This window comes from Homo sapiens, chromosome 12 (genome assembly GCF_000001405.40).
Source record: "Homo sapiens chromosome 12, GRCh38.p14 Primary Assembly".
NCBI lineage: Eukaryota > Metazoa > Chordata > Mammalia > Primates > Hominidae > Homo > Homo sapiens.
The window spans coordinates 102,720,602-102,742,445 of NC_000012.12; the positions used below are offsets into that span (position 1 = coordinate 102,720,602).

General features: G+C 39.8%; 1 annotated feature.

The window, feature by feature from the left end:
* Positions 1,451–2,088: an enhancer, noted in NCBI's record as "OCT4-NANOG hESC enhancer chr12:103115830-103116467 (GRCh37/hg19 assembly coordinates)". NCBI's record gives its function as "activates a minimal SCP1, AML or CMV promoter by ChIP-STARR-seq in naive and primed H9 embryonic stem cells {active_cell/tissue: H9 hESC(naive and primed)}" and the evidence as "EXISTENCE:reporter gene assay evidence [ECO:0000049][PMID:30033119]".

A 21,844-nucleotide genomic window follows, 5' to 3' on the forward strand; every position in this document is an offset into this window, starting at 1 on the left:
TCTTTAGAGGTTTTGTCAAGGGTCTGGTGGCATTCCCACTAGGTGGATTGACCAAGAGGTGGCATTATTTTCTTTGACAACTGTGCTGACAGTTTTATAAGTTGAAATAAAAAAGTTCTGTTATCTATTGAGCAGTGTACATTCCTATATGGACAGATGTGATGGTGTGAAGTGAGCTTTGGAATTGGAATGATTACAAAAGGCCCTTTACCTCCCCTTCCTCACCTGACATGTTTCCATTAAAATGGTGCATCTCAGCTGAACTGTTCAGCTGTTCTCTGCCCGTGCTCACTCCGACAGCCCCTCATCCCTTGGGTAGGAGTGGCAAATCAGGATGATGAGAACCTAGGCCATTTCTTCTTACTAATGGGTGTAGTCTCCTCTATTTCTTACTCGCGTTGCCTCTAACCCTTGTTTCCTATCTCCATGTGGAAACACTGACACCTGGGAAATGTCACCATCCTCTTTTAGCTGCTCTCCTCTGGGGTCAGGTAGGAGGTGAGGTGGACTTGTGACTGGCTGGACATGTAAGCTTAGTGGCTAACTGGAGACCCATCCCTTGCTACAGGAGTCTCCAGGTCTGGATCTAGAGAGAGAAGAGTCTCATTTTGTGTTCCTCAATGTAGACAATTTCTACTTTATTGGGTCATGGATAAAGTCAATATTTTGGTTCTCATTTGGCTATTGCGCATGAATTAGTTTTAGGCTCTGAGGAAATTTCAGAGTCAGGACCCTTGGATTCAAATATATCTACTTAATACATTTGGCAAAGCAGTTAACTCTCCTGAGTCTCAGTTTCCTCAGCTATAAAGCAGGAATAGTATCACCTGCTTTGCATATATATAACCACAGTAAGGGCTAAAAGAGATTTCATGTATTAAATGTGTTACATGACCAGGCCTAGGGTAGGTATTCAAACCACATGAGCTATAAAGGAATTTTAGAAATGACAGGGACTATTTACCTTTTAAAAGAATAATAGCTAGTCGAAACTGGTAAAAGAGAAAATCAGTCTAAGTTCTAATATAGTAGCACTTAGAAAAAAATGTTTATTGAATTGCATGTCATTTTCTCCTTTAAAAGTAACTATTATTTATTGAGGACTTACTCTAGACCAAACACTTTACCAATATTATCTCATGTAACCCTCACAAGAAACCTTTGAATTCAGTTCTATTATAAGCAGTCCCATTTTGCGGATGAGAAAACTGAAGCTTAGAGATGTTAAGTAGTGCAGTGGCAGGCCTGGTGGTGGAGGTTGGGCCTGTCTGGATCCAGGATCAGTACTCATAACTACATACTGTCCTGAGGGCACAAAGGAAAATTTGGCTCTTTCCCTCCCATCCCATAATTCACATCCCCAAACGGTGGAATGCGAATGAGGGAAAGTGAACTTTCCCTGTGAGCTGTAGATCAGAATTCAAGCCCAAGTTTGTTAGCTGTAACACCTGCAATCTGAGATTCTAAGCAATATCACCTTTTGTCCTGAGTTCTGTGTAACTTGTCTGCACAGATGGATGTGTTCCAAATTCTGGCACTGAGGTCCATAAGAGAACGGTGAGATGTGGCACTAACTGCTCAGGCCATCTGGATAACCTGTCAGGACTCCTTGGTTTGTTTACTCATCTCAGTTGGCTACATAAGTGGTAAGGAAAGTGGTCAGGGGCCTGGTTTCATTTGGAGAGCTCTGGGCTGTTATCTTGCTAGGTTTTCCCCTTCTTCTGAGTGTGATACCTATTCAGGGACAAAGTTCTGTTGAATAAGCAAGCTGTGTTTGAAGGCAGCCATCCAGGTCCAGAACAGTCCACCTATTCAGAATCTGATCTCTTGACAATGGGGGCTCTCAGGGTTATTGTTATGATAATATGTTCTAACTCTTTCTTCCCAGAGCCAGGTAGGTTCCCATGAAAAGAGTGGAGTTGGCGTTGGATATTGTTTCTAGTAGCAGTTTTCCTGGTATGGGCGACAGGGACTCAGCGGTAAGATCGACTCTTACTAAATGGGTCCTGGCAAGGGCTGAAGGTGGGGAGTGGGTGCAGTGAGGTAAGCACAGGCCTGCTGGGGACCCTGCACAACCATGATGACCACACACAGTGATCCTGGAAGGAAGGATCTACAGGGCTAGGAAGAAACTCTGTCGTGTGTGTGTGTGTGTGTGTGTGTGTGTGTGTGCGTGCGTGCGTGCGTGCGTGATGGAGGAGTCTCATCAGACCTAAAATGGAGCCTAGATCTTAGTTCATGTGATAAAAGAGTTAAGCTCCCTTTAGCCTTGTCTCCCTTTTTTTAGTCCTTAAGTTCTGACTTCAGGCTTTTCAGTGTCTTAAGGTCTGAGTTCATTACGTTGGTAATTGTAATTACCAATGTAATGCCAATATCCTCAATTCACAGTCATTCATTCATTTATTAAAAATGATTGATCAAGTACTTCTCATTTGTTAGGCAGTCTGCTAGGTGTTTCAGGGCAAGACTACCATGCACAACCCACACAACTATCCATGGCTATCCTTCTTTAGAAAACAAAAGATAAAAACATGATGTAGTCTCTGCTGCAACAGACTTAGTGTCCAAGGCCCAGAGAGGAATTGAATGGGCAGGTGGGAGAAGTGAAAGATTCCTTTGAGCTGGAAGGTTGTGACATTTGAATTGCATGTCAGGATGAAGATCGGATCAAGAAACATGGAAATGTGAATAAAGTTGAAAGAGAGAATATTGGGACAAGTTGTAAAGGGGCAGGAAATGCCTGGCCGTGTGTATAGAATGATGAAGAGTATAGTTCGAGGCAAAGGGTGTGTGAAGAAAACTAGTAGGAAAGAAGGTTGGTGACAGGTTGAGACCTTGAATTCCAGGTTAAGGAGTCTGTGTTTGACTGTGAAATCATGTGGATAGGTAATGTGAACAGAGTAGGTTTCAAGTAAATTAATCTGGTTGGAACATCAGTAAGGAAAGAGACTGGGATCAGGGAGACAGGGTAAATATGTGTCATTTAACAGCTCTTTATGCTCTGACTCAAGCTGTCCATTTTGTATATTTTTATATAACACCAGTGCCTCTTAAAGCAAACTGTTCAGAGGTGAACCAGGATGATTATTAGGCAATTATGTATACAAATTAAAACAAGAACATGTTTGTGTGACTTGGCTCAGTCGCCTATGAGTGAATTTACATATAACTGACATTTCATATGTCCCATCTTTTTTTTTTTTAAAAAAGAAAGAATTATATAAGAAATAACATTTCTGTGTTTGAAGAATTCTTAGCAACACTGTTGTAGACAGCTTGATCAGAGATGGTAATGCTCTAGTACTACTCCTTAGCTTTTGTATCCACCTATCTGGGCCAAGTGTGTTATTGGCAGTAGTGGAAGTTCCTTCCAACGTTACTGCCATTTCCTTGCATGTGAAGTAAGCTTCACTAATGGGACATTCCTGGATCTTGTCTCATTTCTTGCCTCTTCTGATGCAAGTAGAGTAAATAATCTAATTGTCGAGTTTGAGAAAAGAAGTGGGTATGCATAGCTCAGCCACTCGCTCTTAGGTATGAGCTGCCTGCAGGAACCATGTGTCCTGCCATGTGTCTCCAAGCCATAAGGTTTTCTAGGGTAAGACTTCACATGTGGAGACCTATAGTACTCATGCTGCTTGTCATAGCATGGGAAAATTGGCCTAATTCTAGGTTTCAGTATTAGGAAGCCTATTTGCTTAGTGTTTCAGGCAAAATTCTCAAATATAACCATAAAGGTGATGTTTTGATTTCTCTTCTGCCTTACTTGGTGGTCTTATTTCTTGATTGGCTCAGAACTTGGGTGGGGGAAGAAGTGTGCTCCTTTTCAGGCCTCTGAAACTTTAGCAACACAGTGTGGCTGGAGGAGGTATTTGTGTTTTCACAGAAAGTAAGATGGTATTCATGTTTTGTACAAAAGGGAATTTGTTTCTGGCTGCAACTCCAAGGAGAAAAGTATTCTGCCAGATAAGGTCTAAAATGCACATTCCAGCCCAATATCCCCATGGAAAATGTCAGTTCCCAGTAGTGAACAGAATTATCAAAGAGAACTCAGATGTAGAGTGTACCTGGGAAGGACAGGGGTGCAGCCTCACACAGCCCCTCTCCTTAACAGAGAAAGCTGCAGGGAGCATTTTCAGAGGAAAGCAACATCTTCTGTAGGAATCAGTTAACAGCAAAAATGGTACTTCAAGCAATTCACAAGCAAAGATTAACTCATCTCAGTAAAGAGCGTTAAGAACTGCGGTAGGCTGAATAATGATCTCCCAATGATGTCCACATCCCAATCCCCAGAACCTGTGAATATGTCACCTTACATAGCAAAGGGACTTTGCAGATATGATTCAGTTAAGAACATTGAGATAATTAAGTTTCCCTGAATTATCCAGGTGGCCCAATGTATCACAAGGGTCCTTACAAGAGGGAGGGAAGAGAGTCAGAAGAATCACTTCTGTGATTCTTCACAGAAGTTGTAATGATGAAAGCAGAGGTCAGGAAGTCAGGAGAGAGATTTGAAGATGTTGTACTCCTGGCTTTGAAGATGGGAGAAAGAGCCACCAGCCAAGGAATGTAGGGGGATCTAGAAGCTGGAAAGGCAAGTAGATTCTGCCTGAGAACCTCCAGAAGGAATCAGCCCTGTTGACACCTTGACTTTAGCCCAGTGACCTGATTTTGGACTTATTACAGGACTGTATGAAAATAAATTTGTTGTGTGTTAAACCACTAAGTTTGTGGCAATTCAGTATAGCATTCAATAGGAAATTATTAAATACTACAAGGACCCTAAAATAAAAATTAAACATTACAGCAAGGATGCCTAGAAGAAGTGGATCCAATTCTGGAAAACTAGCCTCTTTGCTGCATGGCCTAAGACTTCTCACCACCTAATTAATGAGAAATAACTGAACACTAATATGAGAACATTTATAGTGCACATGTTTATATAATTCATTGTATAAGGGTTTGTGTTGCTGATTGTAAGCTTAGACATTCTCAATAAATTCTTTCTTCCAAAATTCCCAGCTAAATAAACATTTAGGTATTGCTTTATGTATTTTTTAAACCTAAGTAGACTTTACTTTTGATTAGAATCAGGGTTCTGGTATTAAGAAGGGGCTATAGGTAAAAATCCCTTCAAGACAGAATTCTGCCTTGAAGGAGCCCATTTATTTCTAGGAGTGGGGTTTGTTACCATATAATAATTGGCTTGGTGAGTTATTCAAATCTCTGTTTAAAAGTTAATTATTAAAATTCTCTGTTTAATGTTCTCTCAGGTTCCCCATTACCCACAAGAGAAAACCCATATTTCTTATGCTAGGACAGTGGTGAAGAAAAATTCCCTTTGTGGGAAGAACTCTGAGCAGCATGTTTGATTGTCTATGATGCTTGAAGTGATAGAAGGCCAGAAGTATGGCTCCTATGTTGATTCATGGGCAGTTGGATGGTCAGGTGCTTAGTGGGAACAGGATTGGAAAATTAGTGGCAAGAAAGTCTACAGAAGAAGTATGTGGGTAGACTATTCAGAATTGGCACCGAAGGTGAAGATATTTGTATTTCATCCAAATGTCCACCACAGGTTATCCCTGTAGAAGAGATGCTTAATAATTAGATGGACAGAATGTTGCACTCTCCTGTAGATGTAATCACTCTTTCCCCAGCCACATCAGTGCTTGTTCATTGGGACCATGAACAAAATGGTCATGGTGGCAGGAATAGGCTAAGAACATGGACGTCCCCTTAATCAAGGCTAACCTAAATAAAACTACTGAGTCGATCTGCCATCAACAGAGACCAACACTGGGTTGTTGATATGGACCATTCACAGGGGAACCAGTGAGCTACTTGATGGCAGATTGATTGCATTTGACTTCTTTCATCATGGAAAGGGCAGAGATTCACATTCACTGGAATATACACATATTCTAGAAATGGATTTGCCTTCTATACATATAATACTTCTCCTAGTGTCATGATCCATGGACGAATGAAATGCCTTATCCATTGTCATGGTATTCTGCACAGCATTGTATCTGATCAAGAATCTCATGCCACAACAACAGATGTACAGCAATGGATGCATGCCCATAAAATCAGCTAGTCTTACTACACACCTCCATTACTTAGAACTAGCTGGCCTAATTGAAAGATGGTGGCTGATGAAGACTTGGTTATGACATCAGTTGGGAGACAATACCCTGCAAGGATGGGATTCTGTTTTACATGATGTAGTATATGCTTCAAATCAGACACCATTATATCTCCCTCATACTCAGCCTACGTGGGCCTGGGAATTATAAAGTAGAAGTGAGAGTGTTTCTGTACTACTTTCCTAAGGCTGCTATAACAACGTACCACAAACTGCATGGCTTAAAACAACAGAAACTTCCTCTGTCACGCTGTTGGAATTCATAAAGTGGAAATCAAGGGCCATATTCCCCCTGGGGGCTTTAGCGGAAAATCATTTGTTTTTGCCTCTTTCAGCTTTCTGATGCCTGTTAGCATTTTTTTCTTTCTTTTCTTTGTCTTTTTTTTTTTTTAATTTTTAGACAGGGTCTGGCTCTGTCCCCACCCTGGAGTGTAGTGGCATGATCTTGGCTCACTGTAATCTCCATGTCCTGGGCTCAAGTGATCCTCTGACCTCAACCTCCTGAGTAGCTGGGACCACAGACATGCACCACCATGCCCTGCTAATTTTTGTATTTTTTGTGCAGACTGAGTTTCGCCATGTTGCCCAGGCTGGTCTCAAACTGCTGAGCTCAGATGATCCACTCGCCTCCGCCTCCCAAAGTGCTGGGATTACAGGTGTGAGCCACCGAACCTGGCTGTTAGTATTTCTTGACTTGTGGATGCATCATTATAATCTCTGCCTCCATATCACATTGCCTTCTCCTCTTCCCTCTCTATCTCCTCTGCATGTCTTTTATAAGGACACTTGTTAGTAAATTTAGGGCTCACTGAGATTTTCTCAAATAAGGTAACACCCACAGGTTCCAGGGATTAGAACAAAGCATATCTTTTTGAAAGCTACCATTCAATTCACTATAGCTACACATTGGAATCATGGGGCAACTTTAAAAAAACAAAAAACAAAAAAACGAGAGAGATTATTTGATTTCACCACAGGCATTTTGACTCAGTGTTTTTAAAGATGAGGTCTAGGACTCTGTATTAATTCCTCAGGTGATTCTTGTTCAGTAGTCTATACACCTGTATTTAAGAACCACATCTATTGCATACACCAACACCAATCCTTGAATTTTACATTGCCAGTATCACCACTTGCTAGCTGCATTACCCTCAATAAATTATTTAACCATTTTGAGCCTCATTTTCATCGTAAATTTGAGATAAAAGAAATACTTTCTTCAGAGGATTTTTGTGAAAATTAAATGCATGCCAAGTACTTAGAACAGTGCCTGGCACATAGTAAGTATACTACTCAGTTAAGTGTTTGCTATAGTGATAATACTTATTATTAACATTGTCATTACTCAGTGATGTAAGAGCTGGTTCCTCTGCCATGTGTTCCATCTCCCTGTATTTGGGGGCCTTGCCCTACCACTTCTCAGTATCAGGAGGTCAGAGCCCTCTCTCAACTCTAGCAGGAATAGTTGCTAGTCACCACAGGGCCAATACTTTCTCCTTACTAACTTTCAATTCCTGTATCTGAGAATTTTGACTATCACGGAATGCCATTTTCAAATTAATTTTTTGTCTACTTTTTTTAGATAAGGTAGTCTGAGTTACTACTCACAGATTCAAAGAAAGATATATATTGTTTGGTTTTGCAGGCTGCCACTAAATACTATGTACCTAACATATAATAAGCACATATTTTTATGATGGCATTATAAGATGTTATCTGGTGACTATAATGAGACTATTAGAAAGTATGGCTATTCAGCAATAACCATTTATTGAGCTGTGTGTGTGTGTGTGTGTGCGCGTGTGTGCGTGTGTGCATGTGCCAGATGTTATGTTAGATCAGAGGTTGACAACTATGACCTGTGGGTCAAATGTGTCCCACGGCCTGCTTTTGAAGATAAAGTATTATTGAAACACAGCCACTTCCATTTGCTTACATATTGGTTGCTTTTACATTATAACCACAGAGTTGAGTAGTTGTAACTGCTCATCTGGATCTTTACAGGAAATGTATGCAGACCCCTTTGCTAGATGCTTAGGCTGCACAGGTGCAAAAAGATCACTGTGCCTGCTCTCAAAGAGTTTACAGACTAGAGTGAGGGACATAAAAGAAAACAAAAACCCAGTATAGTGGAGACATTTTTCAACTAATTGTGTAAACCATGTGGATGAGATTACAAAGCAGGAAATGATTAGTTCTTTCTATGAAAGTGGCTAAAAAGTCCCTGAATAAGAGATAAAATTTGAGTATCTCACTGTCTGAAATTTTGCTCAGTGGACAGAAAAAAGGTATTTCAGATGAGGATTCAGTATGAGCAAAGGAGGCAGGAAAGGAAGCAGAAAGTGTGGGAATCACTCATTAAGTTGCCCATTGTGGTATAGCATCTGTGTGTGGGGACAGAAGGAGTAATTGAGGCTAGTGGTGGGTGGGTCCTAGAATGAAATCAAAACAAAACTCTAATTCTGACACGGGAATCCCCTTTCCATCTTATTGTAGCCTTCATCAGAGCTGCTGCAGCTTGCAGGCTGACTTACTCTTTTACGATGGATACAGTTATCTTTAGCCATGTAAGGATGGGGGAGAATAGTGGGTGTGGAGTCGGTCATTGTGACATTAGCCTCCTAATTTATGTCTGTGCAAAGATGTTTTTGTGGAAACGTTATGTTTTATGATTGGGAAACTATGAAAACTCCTTCCCTGGAATTGCTAACCATTCATAACAGGAACCTTATTTTCCAAAGCACAATGTGAACAACACAAAAAAGAAAATCCAAAGATAAAGAGAAAAATGTCTTGAGGCCCCTTGCATAGTCATAAAAAAAGACAAGTAAATAAATTTTGGATACAAGATGGGAAAGCCAATCATTTTTGTAGAAAGAGATATTCCAAGGAGAGGTTTTTTTTTTTTTCCACTGGGAAAGCTGTGCAAATGATCCCTCACTTTGGACATAAGAAATGCTCTCCTTTTCAGCATCCTTTTCTTCTTGAAATCTGTCTTCTCGATTGCCCCTTCCTTAAATTCTGGACTCAGATTGGGGTTGGATTTGAGCTCCATGATGTTCTGTTTGGAGCAGAAAGGTAAAGTGGGAAGTACCCTGGGAAAAGTTGGGCCAAACTCTACTGGGGCTATAGAAACAAAAGCATAAATACTCCATAATGATTCACAAAGTTTTGGGATACTGTATTTGATCAGTTCTTCATATTATTTATAATTGTTACAAACTGATCTTGAATACAGTATCATTTTATTAATAAAGACTTGGGTCTATGCCACTACCTTGCTTTGCGGCTTTTGACAAGCTCCTTTATCTTTCGGATATCAGTTTCTTTATCTGTAAAATAAGGATGCTAGGAAAAGTGGTTTGGAAAGGTGGAAATGCAATGAATTTGCAGTTAAGAGTGTGTTTCTCAAAACAACTCCAATTCAATTGCTTCTAACTAGCTTCTTATTTACTTCATGATCTTGGACAAATGGCCCCTCTAAACCACAGTCCCTTATTGGGAGAATAATACATCAAAATTTTATGAAGTTACTGAGAAGATTAAATTAAGTAAAGAAGAATTATAGACCAGTCAAGAAAGATTTTATATACCTAGGGTTTGCAAAAGAACAAGAAGACTTAGGGACATTCAGATGATGACTTCTAAAGGTGCTTAATCAATGTCTTTAATATATGCCAAAAACCTTAAACACAGTGATAACTTTGACACAATAATCTCACTCTTGGAATTCTTTCTTGAGGAAATAATATGGTATTTACGACTATTCATGATAGCAAAAATTATAATCTGAATTTTTAAGTAATGATTAAATAAGTTGCCTCTTTGTAGATTATTGAGTTATTAATTATGATTCTACAGCCCCTGGTGGAGTCTCACTCAACTTGCCTTTAAAATAACAATAAGAGCTTATAAAATGTGGTTAAATATCATGCCATTCATATGTGGCATGTTTTTTCAAGGACACAAATATAAACATTTGTCGTCTTGTGCCAGGAGTGGGGCGGATCACAACATTGAACATAACTATTGACACAATTCATTGCCAGAATCTATGATAATTTTCCACACATTTTCTTGTCTATGGAGTTTGAATGAGAAAATCCATCAATGGCCTACCAATGCATCGCCCAAGAAGACTGAACAGTCCTGGACTCCTGGGACAAGGTGGGATAATATTATATTTTTCTCTCATTCTCTGCTGTCTGGCTCAGTCACTGAAAACCTTTACTCATCAGAAAACCAGGTAGTCACGTTTCTACTAGGTAAGAAGCCATAGAAGTTTTCCTTTCCATCCTGTTCCTGATCCGTCTTTTACGATCATTTTGTAGGGTGCTCTGCTTTTTGCTTCCAGACATGATTCTGCAGCCTGCTTCCAGAAAGCAAAGCAGGAGGTTGTTGGGTGGTGGCGATACTGGCGTGAGGGTGAGGTGGTTACCCCTGTGCTTTTGCCCTCTAGAGGTAGAGTTCTCCTGAGCAAAGTACTATAGGGAAGACGTAACAGGTACACAGCCATTCTGATAATAGCACAAGCTGTGCAGCTCAGAGTTGCAGGGAACCACACGATGGAGGTAGGAAAGATTCCATTGTGGGCCAGAGAACCATCCTGAGGAAATGCCTGCTAGGCACAGGCGAGCAGCTGTGCAAATGAACTGCACTTTAGTTATGCTTTAAATTGAAGATGATGGAAATGAAAGGCAGAGAACAGAGGTCAAACTAAAAATAATTAAAACTGTCTTTGCCTAGAAATAGTCTTCCGCACATCATTCCAAAGCCCAATTAAATTCCAAGGAAACAAATAAAAATACATACTCCAAGACTGTGGACAATTTTTAAAAAAATACATGTATGAATAAAAACTTGACAAGGATCATGACAATACAATTAATTACTCAGTGATTAGCTAGGAGATGGTTTGGCTACCTAATACAGGAGGTCCAAATTGATGGCTTAAAGAAGATAAGTTTTGTTTTTCTCACATGCAAAAGAAGTCTGATGATATGGTTTTGTTGTGTCCCCAGCCAAATCTCATTTTGAATTGTAGCTCCCATAATTGCCACGTATTGTGGGAGGGACCCAGTGGGGGATAATTGAATTATGGGGTCAGTTTTCCCCATACTGTTCTCTTGGTAGTGAATATGTCTCATGAGAGCTGATGGTTTTATGAGGGGAAACGCTTTTCACATGGCTCTCCTTTATCTCCTTTGCTGCGATGTAAGATGTTCCTTTTTCCTTCCACCATGATTGGGAGACCTCCCCAGCCACGTGGAACTGTGAGTCCATTAAGCCTCTTTTACTTTATAAATTACCCAGTCTCCAGTATGTCTTTATCAGCAGCGTGAAAACGGACTAATACATCTGGAGAGGCAATTCAGAGCTCCAAAGGCAGCCCTTGTGTCATTCAAGGGAGCAGCTTCCTTCTAGCTTTCCCCTTTGACATTCTGAAGGTGATCCTCTCAAGACGGCTGCCAAGACTCCAGCCACTGTGTCCAGGCAGGAAGACAAGAAGAGGCAAAAGGAACACATGCTCAAACGTGATTCTCTCCCTGTTAAGGGCCTTTCTGAGAAGCCTGCATTTGGTGACTTCCACCTAAAATTAATTCATTGGCCAGGACCATGATACATAGCCATCCTCTCTGCAGGGCAGTTTGGGAAATATGGTTTTGGCAGGGAATATTTATATACCCAACTAAAACAGAGTTAGTAAGAAAGAAGAGAATGAATATTGAGTCAGCAACTGGCAGTATCTGCCACATCTACAAATCTACAGAAGTCAGGCTGACGTTTGGCTTCTACTTTTGGGTGTAAAATAACATCAGTGCATGGGACAATGTCTCTAAATTTTTAAGGGGAAAAACGTAACCGATATTTTTATACATAGTGAAGTCATAATTTATATGCGAAGCTACAAAAGAAAATTTCCAATATACGAGGGTTTAGAAAATATACTATGTGCACTTCTTTTAAAAAATCCCAAATGGGCCAGGTGCTGTGGCTCATGCCTGTAATCCCAGCACTGGGAGGCCGAGGCGGGTGGATCATGAGGTCAGGAGATCGAGACCATCCTGGCTAACACAGTGAAACCCCATGTCTACTAAAAATACAAAAAAAAAAAAAAAAAAACTAGCCAGGCATGGTGGCGGGCGCCTGTAGTCCCAGCTACTTGGGAGGCTGAGGCAGGAGAATAGCGTGAACCCAGGAGGCAGAGTTTGCAGTAAGCCGAGATCGCACCACCACACTCCAGCCTGGGCAACAGAGCGAGACTCCATCTCAAAAATAAATAAATAAATAAATAAATAAATAAATAAATAAATAAATATAAAAATTACTTATGCCAGGTGACTGAGAGATGAGTCAAAAGTAAAAACTTCATCATTAGTTAAATATAATAGAAATCACTGGAGGTAAGAACTGCACTCATTTAAACAGGTAGTTGATTAAGAAATTATTTTAAACAACTCCTCTGAGTACAATTAGAATGAGTGAAATGTCTAAGTAGATACCTCAATGAATTGTGAACAATATTTATGTAAAAGCATCAATTAACAAAGATGATTCAAGAAGACATAGAAAGCATCATGATCTATATCCTAGGGAAAAAGAAAAAATAAGCAAAAATAAATAAAACACACTGAAAAACCAAATGATTTCATTGATGAGTTTCTTACAAACTTTTAAAGAAAATATAATGCTTATGATGCTAATTAAAAGTTTTGTACATACAGGCCGGGCATGGTGGCTCACGCCTGTAATCCCAGCACTTTGGGAGGCCGAGATGGGCAGATCACCTGAGCTCAGGAGTTTGAGACCAACATGGAGAAACCCTGTCTCTACTAAAAATACAAAAGAAGCCAGGCATGGCAGTGCATGTCTGTAATCCCAGCTACTAGGGAGGCTGAGGCAGGAGAATCACTTGAACCTGGGAGGCAGAGGTTGCGGTGAGCTGAGATCACACCATTGCACTCCATCTTGGGCAACAAGAGCAAAACTCCGTCTCAAAAAAAAAAGTTTTGTACATACAAAAAGTACAAAATTTTGCAGTTGATCCATAAAGTGTCATAAACCTGATGCCCAAAATTGATAAAAAAAATACTGAGGTAAAAGAAAACTCTAAACCATCTTCTCATAAATATGGAAGGAAATGTATATATGAAGTATTAGCCAATTTAATTCTTTAATACAATTCCACCTGGACCAAGGAATATCTAAGTAAAAAATGCAAATAGTTTTATAATTATGAATCCAATAATATATGAGATAAAAAAGGAAATCTTTTGATCATTAAATGAGTGCCCAAAATCTATTTAATAAATCATAATGTGCATTTCTGTGAAAATCTAAAACACTAATAACAGAAGACTTTTCTTAACATGGTAAAAATAACTATCATAAACCAAAGATAACACTTAAATATCAGAATATTTGACAAAAACTAAGATCAAAAGAAATATGTTGCTATCACCACTATTATTATTCATTGGGAGTTCTAATCCCAATGGAACAGGAGTAAAAGACATGGAACAGGTATAAAAGGCAGATGCATTAAAAAGGAAGATAGAGGCCGGGCATGGTGGCTCACGCCTGTAATTCCAGCACTTTGGGAGGCCAAGGCAGGTGTATCACATGGTCAAGAGATCGAGACCATCCTGGCCAACGTGGTGAAGTCCCGTCTCTATTAAAAATACAAAAGTTAGCTGGCGTGTTGATGCGCGCCTATAGTCCCAGCTACTTGGGAAGCTGAGGCAGGAGAATCGCTTGAACCCGGGAGGTGGAGGCAGTGAGCCAAGATCATGCTGCTGCACTCCAGCCTGGGCGACAGAGCGAGAATCCGTCTCAAAAAAAAAAAAAAAAAAAGATAGAATATTATTTTTATTTATAGATGATTTGATACTTTAAAAAGAATCAATTGAAAAACAATTAGTGGTTTAAAAATTTGAGACAATATAAATAATCAAAATTCCTTTATAGATATCTAATAACCTGAAGACATGAAAAATATATCAACTGTAATATATATAAAATATATAAATATATAAGTATGTATAATGGATACATAATAATGTATCAGATATAATATCCATATATCCATATAACTATATGTACTATCCCAATATTTTATATATATTATAAAGTACTAGTCATAAAATACTAGTCATGAACTAAGAGAGGCATAAAAGATTTTAATAAACTGAGAGCTTCTTCTGGAGAGGGTGGGGCCTAGAATAAATTTTTTGAAAAAGTGTTTCTTTACAAATCAACACATAGAGTGAATATAAATAAGCTTAAAATTCAAATGAACAGGCTGTGTGTGGTGGTTCATGCCTGTGGTCACAGCATTTTGGGAGGCTAAGGCAGGAGGATCACTTGAGGCCAAGAGTTTGAGACCAGCCTGGGCAATATGGTAAAACCCCATCTCTACTAAAAAAATACAAAAATCAGCCAGACGTGGTGGTGCATACCTGTAATCCCAGCAACCCAAGAGGCTGAGGCATGAGAATCACTTGTACCCAGGAGGTAGACGCTGCAGTGAGCCAAGATCATGCCACTACCCTCCAGCCTGGGGGACAGAGCAAAACTGTTTCAAAACAAAACCAAAACCGAATATAGGAGTGGAATTGAAATGTGCTTCCTCTTTTATCTTGCTTTTTCTCACCTAACACCTCCCTCTCTAGCCTTGAGTTTATAAAATTCACAGTTGTCACAAGTGTTTCCCTTTGCTGGGCCACCAACCTGGTTTGTCTGGGTTGTGAGGGGCAGAGTGGATGCTGTAAAGAATGTCTCCTCTCCTTGTAGGTGAGAGAAGAGAAGATGTTCCCTCACGTAGTTAATTCTGTGTGTCAGCTGATTACAATGCCAGACAATAGATGCCTTCCAATACAGGGGTGATAAATGTAGGCTAAATGGGAAGTGGAGTCATATTTTCTTGTTCATCTCTGATTCCCCAGCACATAGAAGAGTGATTGGCACATAATAAGCATTCAATAGATATGTGTTTAATAAAGGTTTTCACTGACTTGTGATATCTTTAATATTTTCTCACAGATTATTTGCCTGATATGTAATGATGGTTAATCCACAAATTAGTTAATCCATTGCAGATAACTGAGAGTTGATTATGCATGCAAAACAAAACCACTAAGAAAACAAAATAAAGATTATGCAGAGGGAAAAAAATCAAAGCAAAGGAAGTAATATATCAAAGTGATAACCATGGCTGAGTTTAAATGATGGGGCACTTCTGCATTTTCTAAAATATTTAACAAATATACACTAATTTTATAATAAAAAACAGCTTTTATTTTAAGTATTTTGAGATGTGTTTGCACTTTTGGGTGGATTTCAGATTTTGCTTACATGATGTCATAAAGCTCAATTGATATGGTGGTTTCTTAGACAACCAACAGATCTAATAACAAAGCATAAAACAAAGCAAAACAAAACAAAACAAAAAAACAAAAAAAAATCCCTAGATATCCAGATTTGGAATTTATCCCTAAATGACTGAAATTTTTACTTTATTATTGATTTATTCTCACATTGAAATAGTGCAGAGACCATCTCTGCATGACATTGTCTTCTAATACTATAGATAATAGGGGTAAGAGGTGTACTTAAAAGATGAACAGGAAATAATGATGGCCAATCATCAATTGCTACCCCTCTTCATACTTCTTCTGAACCTAATTTATGTTGCTAGTAGATAATTTATCATCACTGTTTTATGTTGATTCCCCCTCCCCATTGGTGAGGCTGTAAATTACCTGAGAGCAGAAACCATGCCTTGCTCATACACCCCACTCCTGGAATAAGTTAGGCCCCTGTGTCATGCTCTCTCACAATCCCCTGGGCTGCTCTTTCTGGAGCACTCTTCATAATTGTAAGGAGTGTGTTTAGCCTGCGCTCTTTTGACTTTCTCTGGAGGGGTCTCTACTAGAGTAAAAATTCTGGTCTCTTATCCCATCTCAGCTTTTTCTTCTCTTAACCAACAGAGCTTAGCCAGAGGTGTGGCCCAGCTGATTGGCAAGGGCCATCCTGAGTTGGCTGCTGGTCAGATAGGAGAAGGTGAAAGTGGGCACAGATTGCTTGGCAATGGGTGCTATTGGCAGAGAACCTTAATGATGTTTGGCTCTGTCTTTCTGCAGGGACTATAAGTCGGATGATTAAATTAGTTCCCTGTGAAGGAGGCCTATAGTTTTGTGGAAAAAATTCAGTTCAGGGGCACATTATAAAGCCCTCTTGGCTAAGTAAGCCACATGCTCCAAACAGTTTTATCAGTCATAAAGCTGGTGTGCTTATTTCTTCCTTTTCTTTTTCTTCACTTTTCTCTTCTCTTCTCTTCTCTTCTCTTCTCTTCTCTTTTCTTTTCTTTTCTTTCTTTTCTTTTTGAGACAGGGTCTCACTTTGTCATCCAGGGTGGAGTGCAGTAGTGCAAACACGGTTGACTGCAGCCTTGACCTCTCAGGCCCAAGTGATCCTCCCACCTCAGCCCGACAAGTAGCTGGGACTACAAGCAAGCACCACCATGCCTAGCTAATTTTTGTATGATTGTAGAGATGGAGTTTCGCCATGTTACCCAGGCTGGTCTTGAACTCCTGAGCTCAACCGATCCGCCCACCTCTGCCTCCCAAAGTGCTGGGATTAGAGGTGTGAGCCACCATGCCGGGCCTGGTGTTTTGATTTCTACCATTCTGACTCCCGTGTCTCTCTCAGGTGATCCAGAACTTGGGTGGGGAAGAGAATGGTATAATGACATGATTTTTTAAAATGCTAAATTGTTTTGAATTGAATATCTGTATTGCCTGCTAGACTGGAAGGTCAATGAAAGCAGAGATCTTCTATCTGTTTCATCATTGCTTCCCCAGGGCCTATCATTGTGCCTGGCATATTATAGGCCATCAATAAATATTTGTAGTATGAACAAATAAATTTATCTTTTGATTATCATTTTTTAGTATAGTCCCTGACATAGAAGTAGGGCTTAGTAAATATTGATTTGAATTGGAGCTGAGGTTTCAGATGGGGGTGGCATCAGGAGTCACATTCTGGTTCATTCTTCTTGGTTCTTTGACCCAGTCCTCCCTATTCCTGGGTGAGTGCTAATAGCCCCTAAGCCAACTGTACTTGTTCATGTTGCTTCTCTTTCCCACCTCAGCACAGCGCATAAGGGGAGAGGGGAGTATAGTCAATGGGAACCTATCAGTTTCCTACTTGCATGCCTCATCTCCAGCCCCGTGGCAGAACATTTATTTTTTATTGAAAAAGACAAAAGCTGGGATAAAAGAGGAAATGAGGGCATTTAATCATAATAGTAATAGGACTTAGAGTGTGTTCCACCTTCCCAGTAGCAGAAAGAACCTGTACGTAGGCTCTCCAGTCACCCTGTCCAGGCACTGGTCCACCTCCTAGATCCCGGGGCTCACTTTGGGCTGTGCCTTCTCCTGAACTCCATCTAGATTCTTAATTAAGAACAGAACATTTTCTTCATTTCCACTACACAGAGGAATGACATTATATGCAGAACATCTGTAAATCTTAAGTGTGGGCCTCAGGCAGCACCACTTTCCCACACATAAATCTTTGTGTGAGCTTAGGTCAATCGATACTTGCCTTCATAGGTGACTCTGGGGTCAAGCACATGTCCTTTAGACTATAAGGTCAGGACCCTCTTTCCAATGGGAAAGAGGCCACAATTGCAGAGAGCTGAACAATGGCCCCAGGTCGTGGCACTTGTCTGTGTTTTTCCTCCTGCAGTGCTCTGGCCTGGATGACTGGAAGCCCATTCAGTCAGCTGGAGTCTCAGACTTTCAGTCTGAAGGTGTGGCACAATCACCTATTCAGGGCTAATGTTCCTCCTCAACATGTGCAGTCCAGCCTACGATTTCCCTCTTCCATGGGCAAGGAGATAACAATGTCTTGGAGATCAGTCACTCCATCTTCACACAGCTTCTGTCAAATGATGCCCAACCATGTGCGGATGGCCAAAGCACACCTGGTGCTTCCATATGATAGAATGTAATGCAGCTGTTGAAGATCGTATCTTTTAAAAATTATTTAACCATCTGGGAAAAGGTTGATGATGGATTATTAAGTGAAAAAAATTATTACACTGTAATATAGATAGATGATAGGTAGATAGATGATAAATGGATCAAGCATGAAAGATGATGAGTGCCTCAAAACACTGAAGAGCTCTTCGAGACACTCAATCTCAAACCGAGGAACCATGTTTCTATAACTCTCTGTTTTGCCTTATGTTATCTAGAAAGACAAGCAGACAGAGTATATGTCTAGGAGGAAACAATCATAACCATTATTTAAATGCAGAAATGTAGAGAATCCAGAGCATGGTGCAACACCAGAGTTCCCATTCAGTCTATTCGCTGAGTCACCAGTGGTCACCGGGGGTCCTTCTTCTGCTGCTCTCTTTCCATCTTTGCTTCCTTTCTATCTCTATGGTTTTCCCACCCCTTTACACATTTCTGCAGCATCTTAACATCACTCTGGCCTTAACAGAGCCTTGCAATCCTCCACAGAAGCAGGCTTAAGGCCTCTGGGGGTTACAGAGTGAGGCATTTTTTGAGGTGAACTCCTCTTGCTAATATTTAGCTCATCACATATAATTTATGGGGTTATTTATAGTAAAGAACACCCTATCAGGGGTAAGAGGGACAGAAAACCCCATCAGGTTTCATTGGATTTGCCATATAGTTAGGCAGACATATCATGAAATGTGTTGACCTAGAAGAGAAGATACCCAGTTTTTAATGGAAAGCAGAAGGGTTACCCAGTCATAATCATGGCTAGACTTAAAAGCTGCCTATTTCTATGTTTTAAAGTATACTTTTCTCTTATTTTCATAATCATCACTCTATACTCCTTAAAAAAAAGGTGACTACATCCGCCGTTTGCATTGCTTCTTGAGAAAGTTTGAGAAATAAATTCTCATAAGTAAGCTGGAGCCATGGAATTTCTGATTGAGGTTGGAGTTACTGGAACCAAAAACCAATGTGAAAGGCAAAGCCTAACAATAAAGGCAGTGAGAACCAAATAGATAGCAGCAAAGTGACCTCTCTAAGGTTAGATCAGAGGATGCATGTTGCAGAACAAGGGGAATAAAATAGATAGCTGTGATAGGGCTGGACTCTGGAGGTCTGAGGAAGCTTGATTTGATGCTGAAGCCCATTGGAAGGGCAAACCCTAGAGTTGAGGCTGCAGGGCCTCCCCTCCTGCCCTCAGCTCTTATTCTACCCCACCTTCTGCTCGTGGCTCATCTGTCTCTCTCCTTCCCAGGTGGGGAGCTCAGCTGTTCTGAAAAACAAAATAGGAAGTCACTTATATGCCCTGGAGCCCTGCTTTTGTAATTCTGATACAGGGCATTAGACCTAATTTAATTTGAAAATAATATAGTAAGATGAAAGGAAATCCCACTTGAGCTTCTCATTTTAAAAAGAGTTCAAAAAAAGATAAAGTAAGCCTGAGAACCTCAAAGAAGGCCCTCTGGTCAATAGAGGCAGACAGGCCAGATGTTTTTGCCATCTGTGTCTTGTCCCCTCTGACATGGGGCTAGCTGAGGGAGAGAGGCACACAACAGAAGAGCAGGCTAGCTTGCTAATACTGCCCTCTTATTTAGCTCATGGAAATGTCATAACATCTAAGGTCTTACTTTCCCTCTGGATTTGAGGGGAAAACATCTATAGTCCTCTTGAACTCATTTCATGGAAGGAACTTTGTTACAGTGCAAAATTTCACCAAAGATTAATTGAACTTGACATCCTGAATGTCTTTTGCACAATGTACTAAAGTGGATTTTTTTTTTAAAAATGTCAGTATCTGATCCTTGGTGTGTGGTTTTTAGATGTCCAAAGTATTCCCACTTCTCAAATTCCCTTTAAGAAGCTGGAATGCAATGCATTTCTGAGTGTTCTTTATTTCAGTTGAATCCCCACCTTGCTATAGCAGTACTAAATATACTTAAAATCAACAATTCATCACAATAAAAAAAAAATACTGAGTGATATCCAGAGTGGCTGGCCTTCGTTCAACACCAACCATTCTCTAGTTTACGGGAAATTAGGATCACAGGCCAGCTTTACATTAACTGGAAAGTGTACGCTACCATCTTGTGGACAAAATATCAATAACACTGAAATATACTCAAGACAACTTACCATCTCTTTTGTATTACAGTGAACATTTATTTTGTCCTGGGTTCCCACATGCACTCATGGTGACCATTCCATGCAATTTAGAACTTTGGCACTGAATTATCTTTGTTAATAAATTGGGTACAGTTCAACATGAAGAAAAGCGAGCTTACCAAGAAAATTTTGGAACCCAAATACCAGAGACCTGGATCCTCATGTAACCTTCGCCTTTGATTCTTGCCTCTTCAGTTTTCACTTTTCTAAATGCAAAATGCAAGTGTTGATTCTGGTCATCTTATACTGAACACATAGGTTTTTGGTTGGTGTTGACAGGGTTAGATTTTTATAATATCCCGAGGAGTTGAACGTTATGATCCCAAGAGAAATTAATTTATTAACCAGTTGTTCTTTAACTGATACAAAAATTAGTTACTCTTCTCCTGGATGGTTTGCACATGAACATACAGGTGCATATCTCACTTGCTATGGTACCAAACAATGACATCATAGGATGCAGAAGGAGATGGTGTCATCACAGCTGTATGACATGAAAGTTATAGGATCACAGCATCTTAGGGTAGGCAAGGACCATCAAGTTCATTAAATTCAATTACATTTCTAATGCGTGAATCACTTGTATAATATCCAATTGCTTGTTGAATCTCTTCTTCTAGAATATAAGAAAGTACTTGAAAAGGGGACCACGTAAAAGACAGGAAAACAGGAGATTTCTATTCCAAATTTCTAAGGATGCTTTTTTTTATTGCTGTTGTTTGCTAATAGATATTATGACAGTTGGTAACTAGAGAATCTCTAAGGAAGAATCTGTAACTATCAGTCTCCTACCCTTGATGTTGTGGTTCTAGTCTATTTACAGTATGCCAAATAGCTTCTTGCCCACTGGAGCTCAGAAGACCTTCTAAAGTTAGAACTTTCCAGTGTTAAAAGTTTCTACTACAAGCTAAGGGTCTGTTGTATTCCCTCAATTCTTCCTTTAAGCCGTCATATCTAAGTTAGAAACATGTGCAAGTATGTGTGTTTGTGTGTTTGTGTGTTTTTCTGTGTGTGTCCATATACTTGTGTGTGTGTGTGTGTTCTCGGTGTTTTTCTTACTTGTAGGAAAATGATGACTCTCTCCCACCCCCAATTTGGTACTAGTGGCAAAGCATCATTTAAGAGGGCCACACACTGGTCATTTTTGTTATGAGCAAAAAATATAACTGGTCTTACACAGTTTTCCTTCCTGTTAAAAAAAGGAGTAATCTGTATCTTCTCTACCTCCCATAGATATATTTTGACAATTACGATACCACCATCTTTCATTAGCTCATTAATCTAAATATATATGTTTCTATTACAACATTGCTTACATAACAGAGAGCCAATTTCAAAAGAAGTATGTTCACCCCATTTAACTATTCATGCTGAAGCACTGAGTTTTGCAAATAGAAAAGCCCTAAAGCTACAACAAGATGATGACAATGATGACAGCAACAGTAACAGAGACAATACAACACTTAGACAGGCATTTGTTCCCAGTACTGGGTCTGAGGAG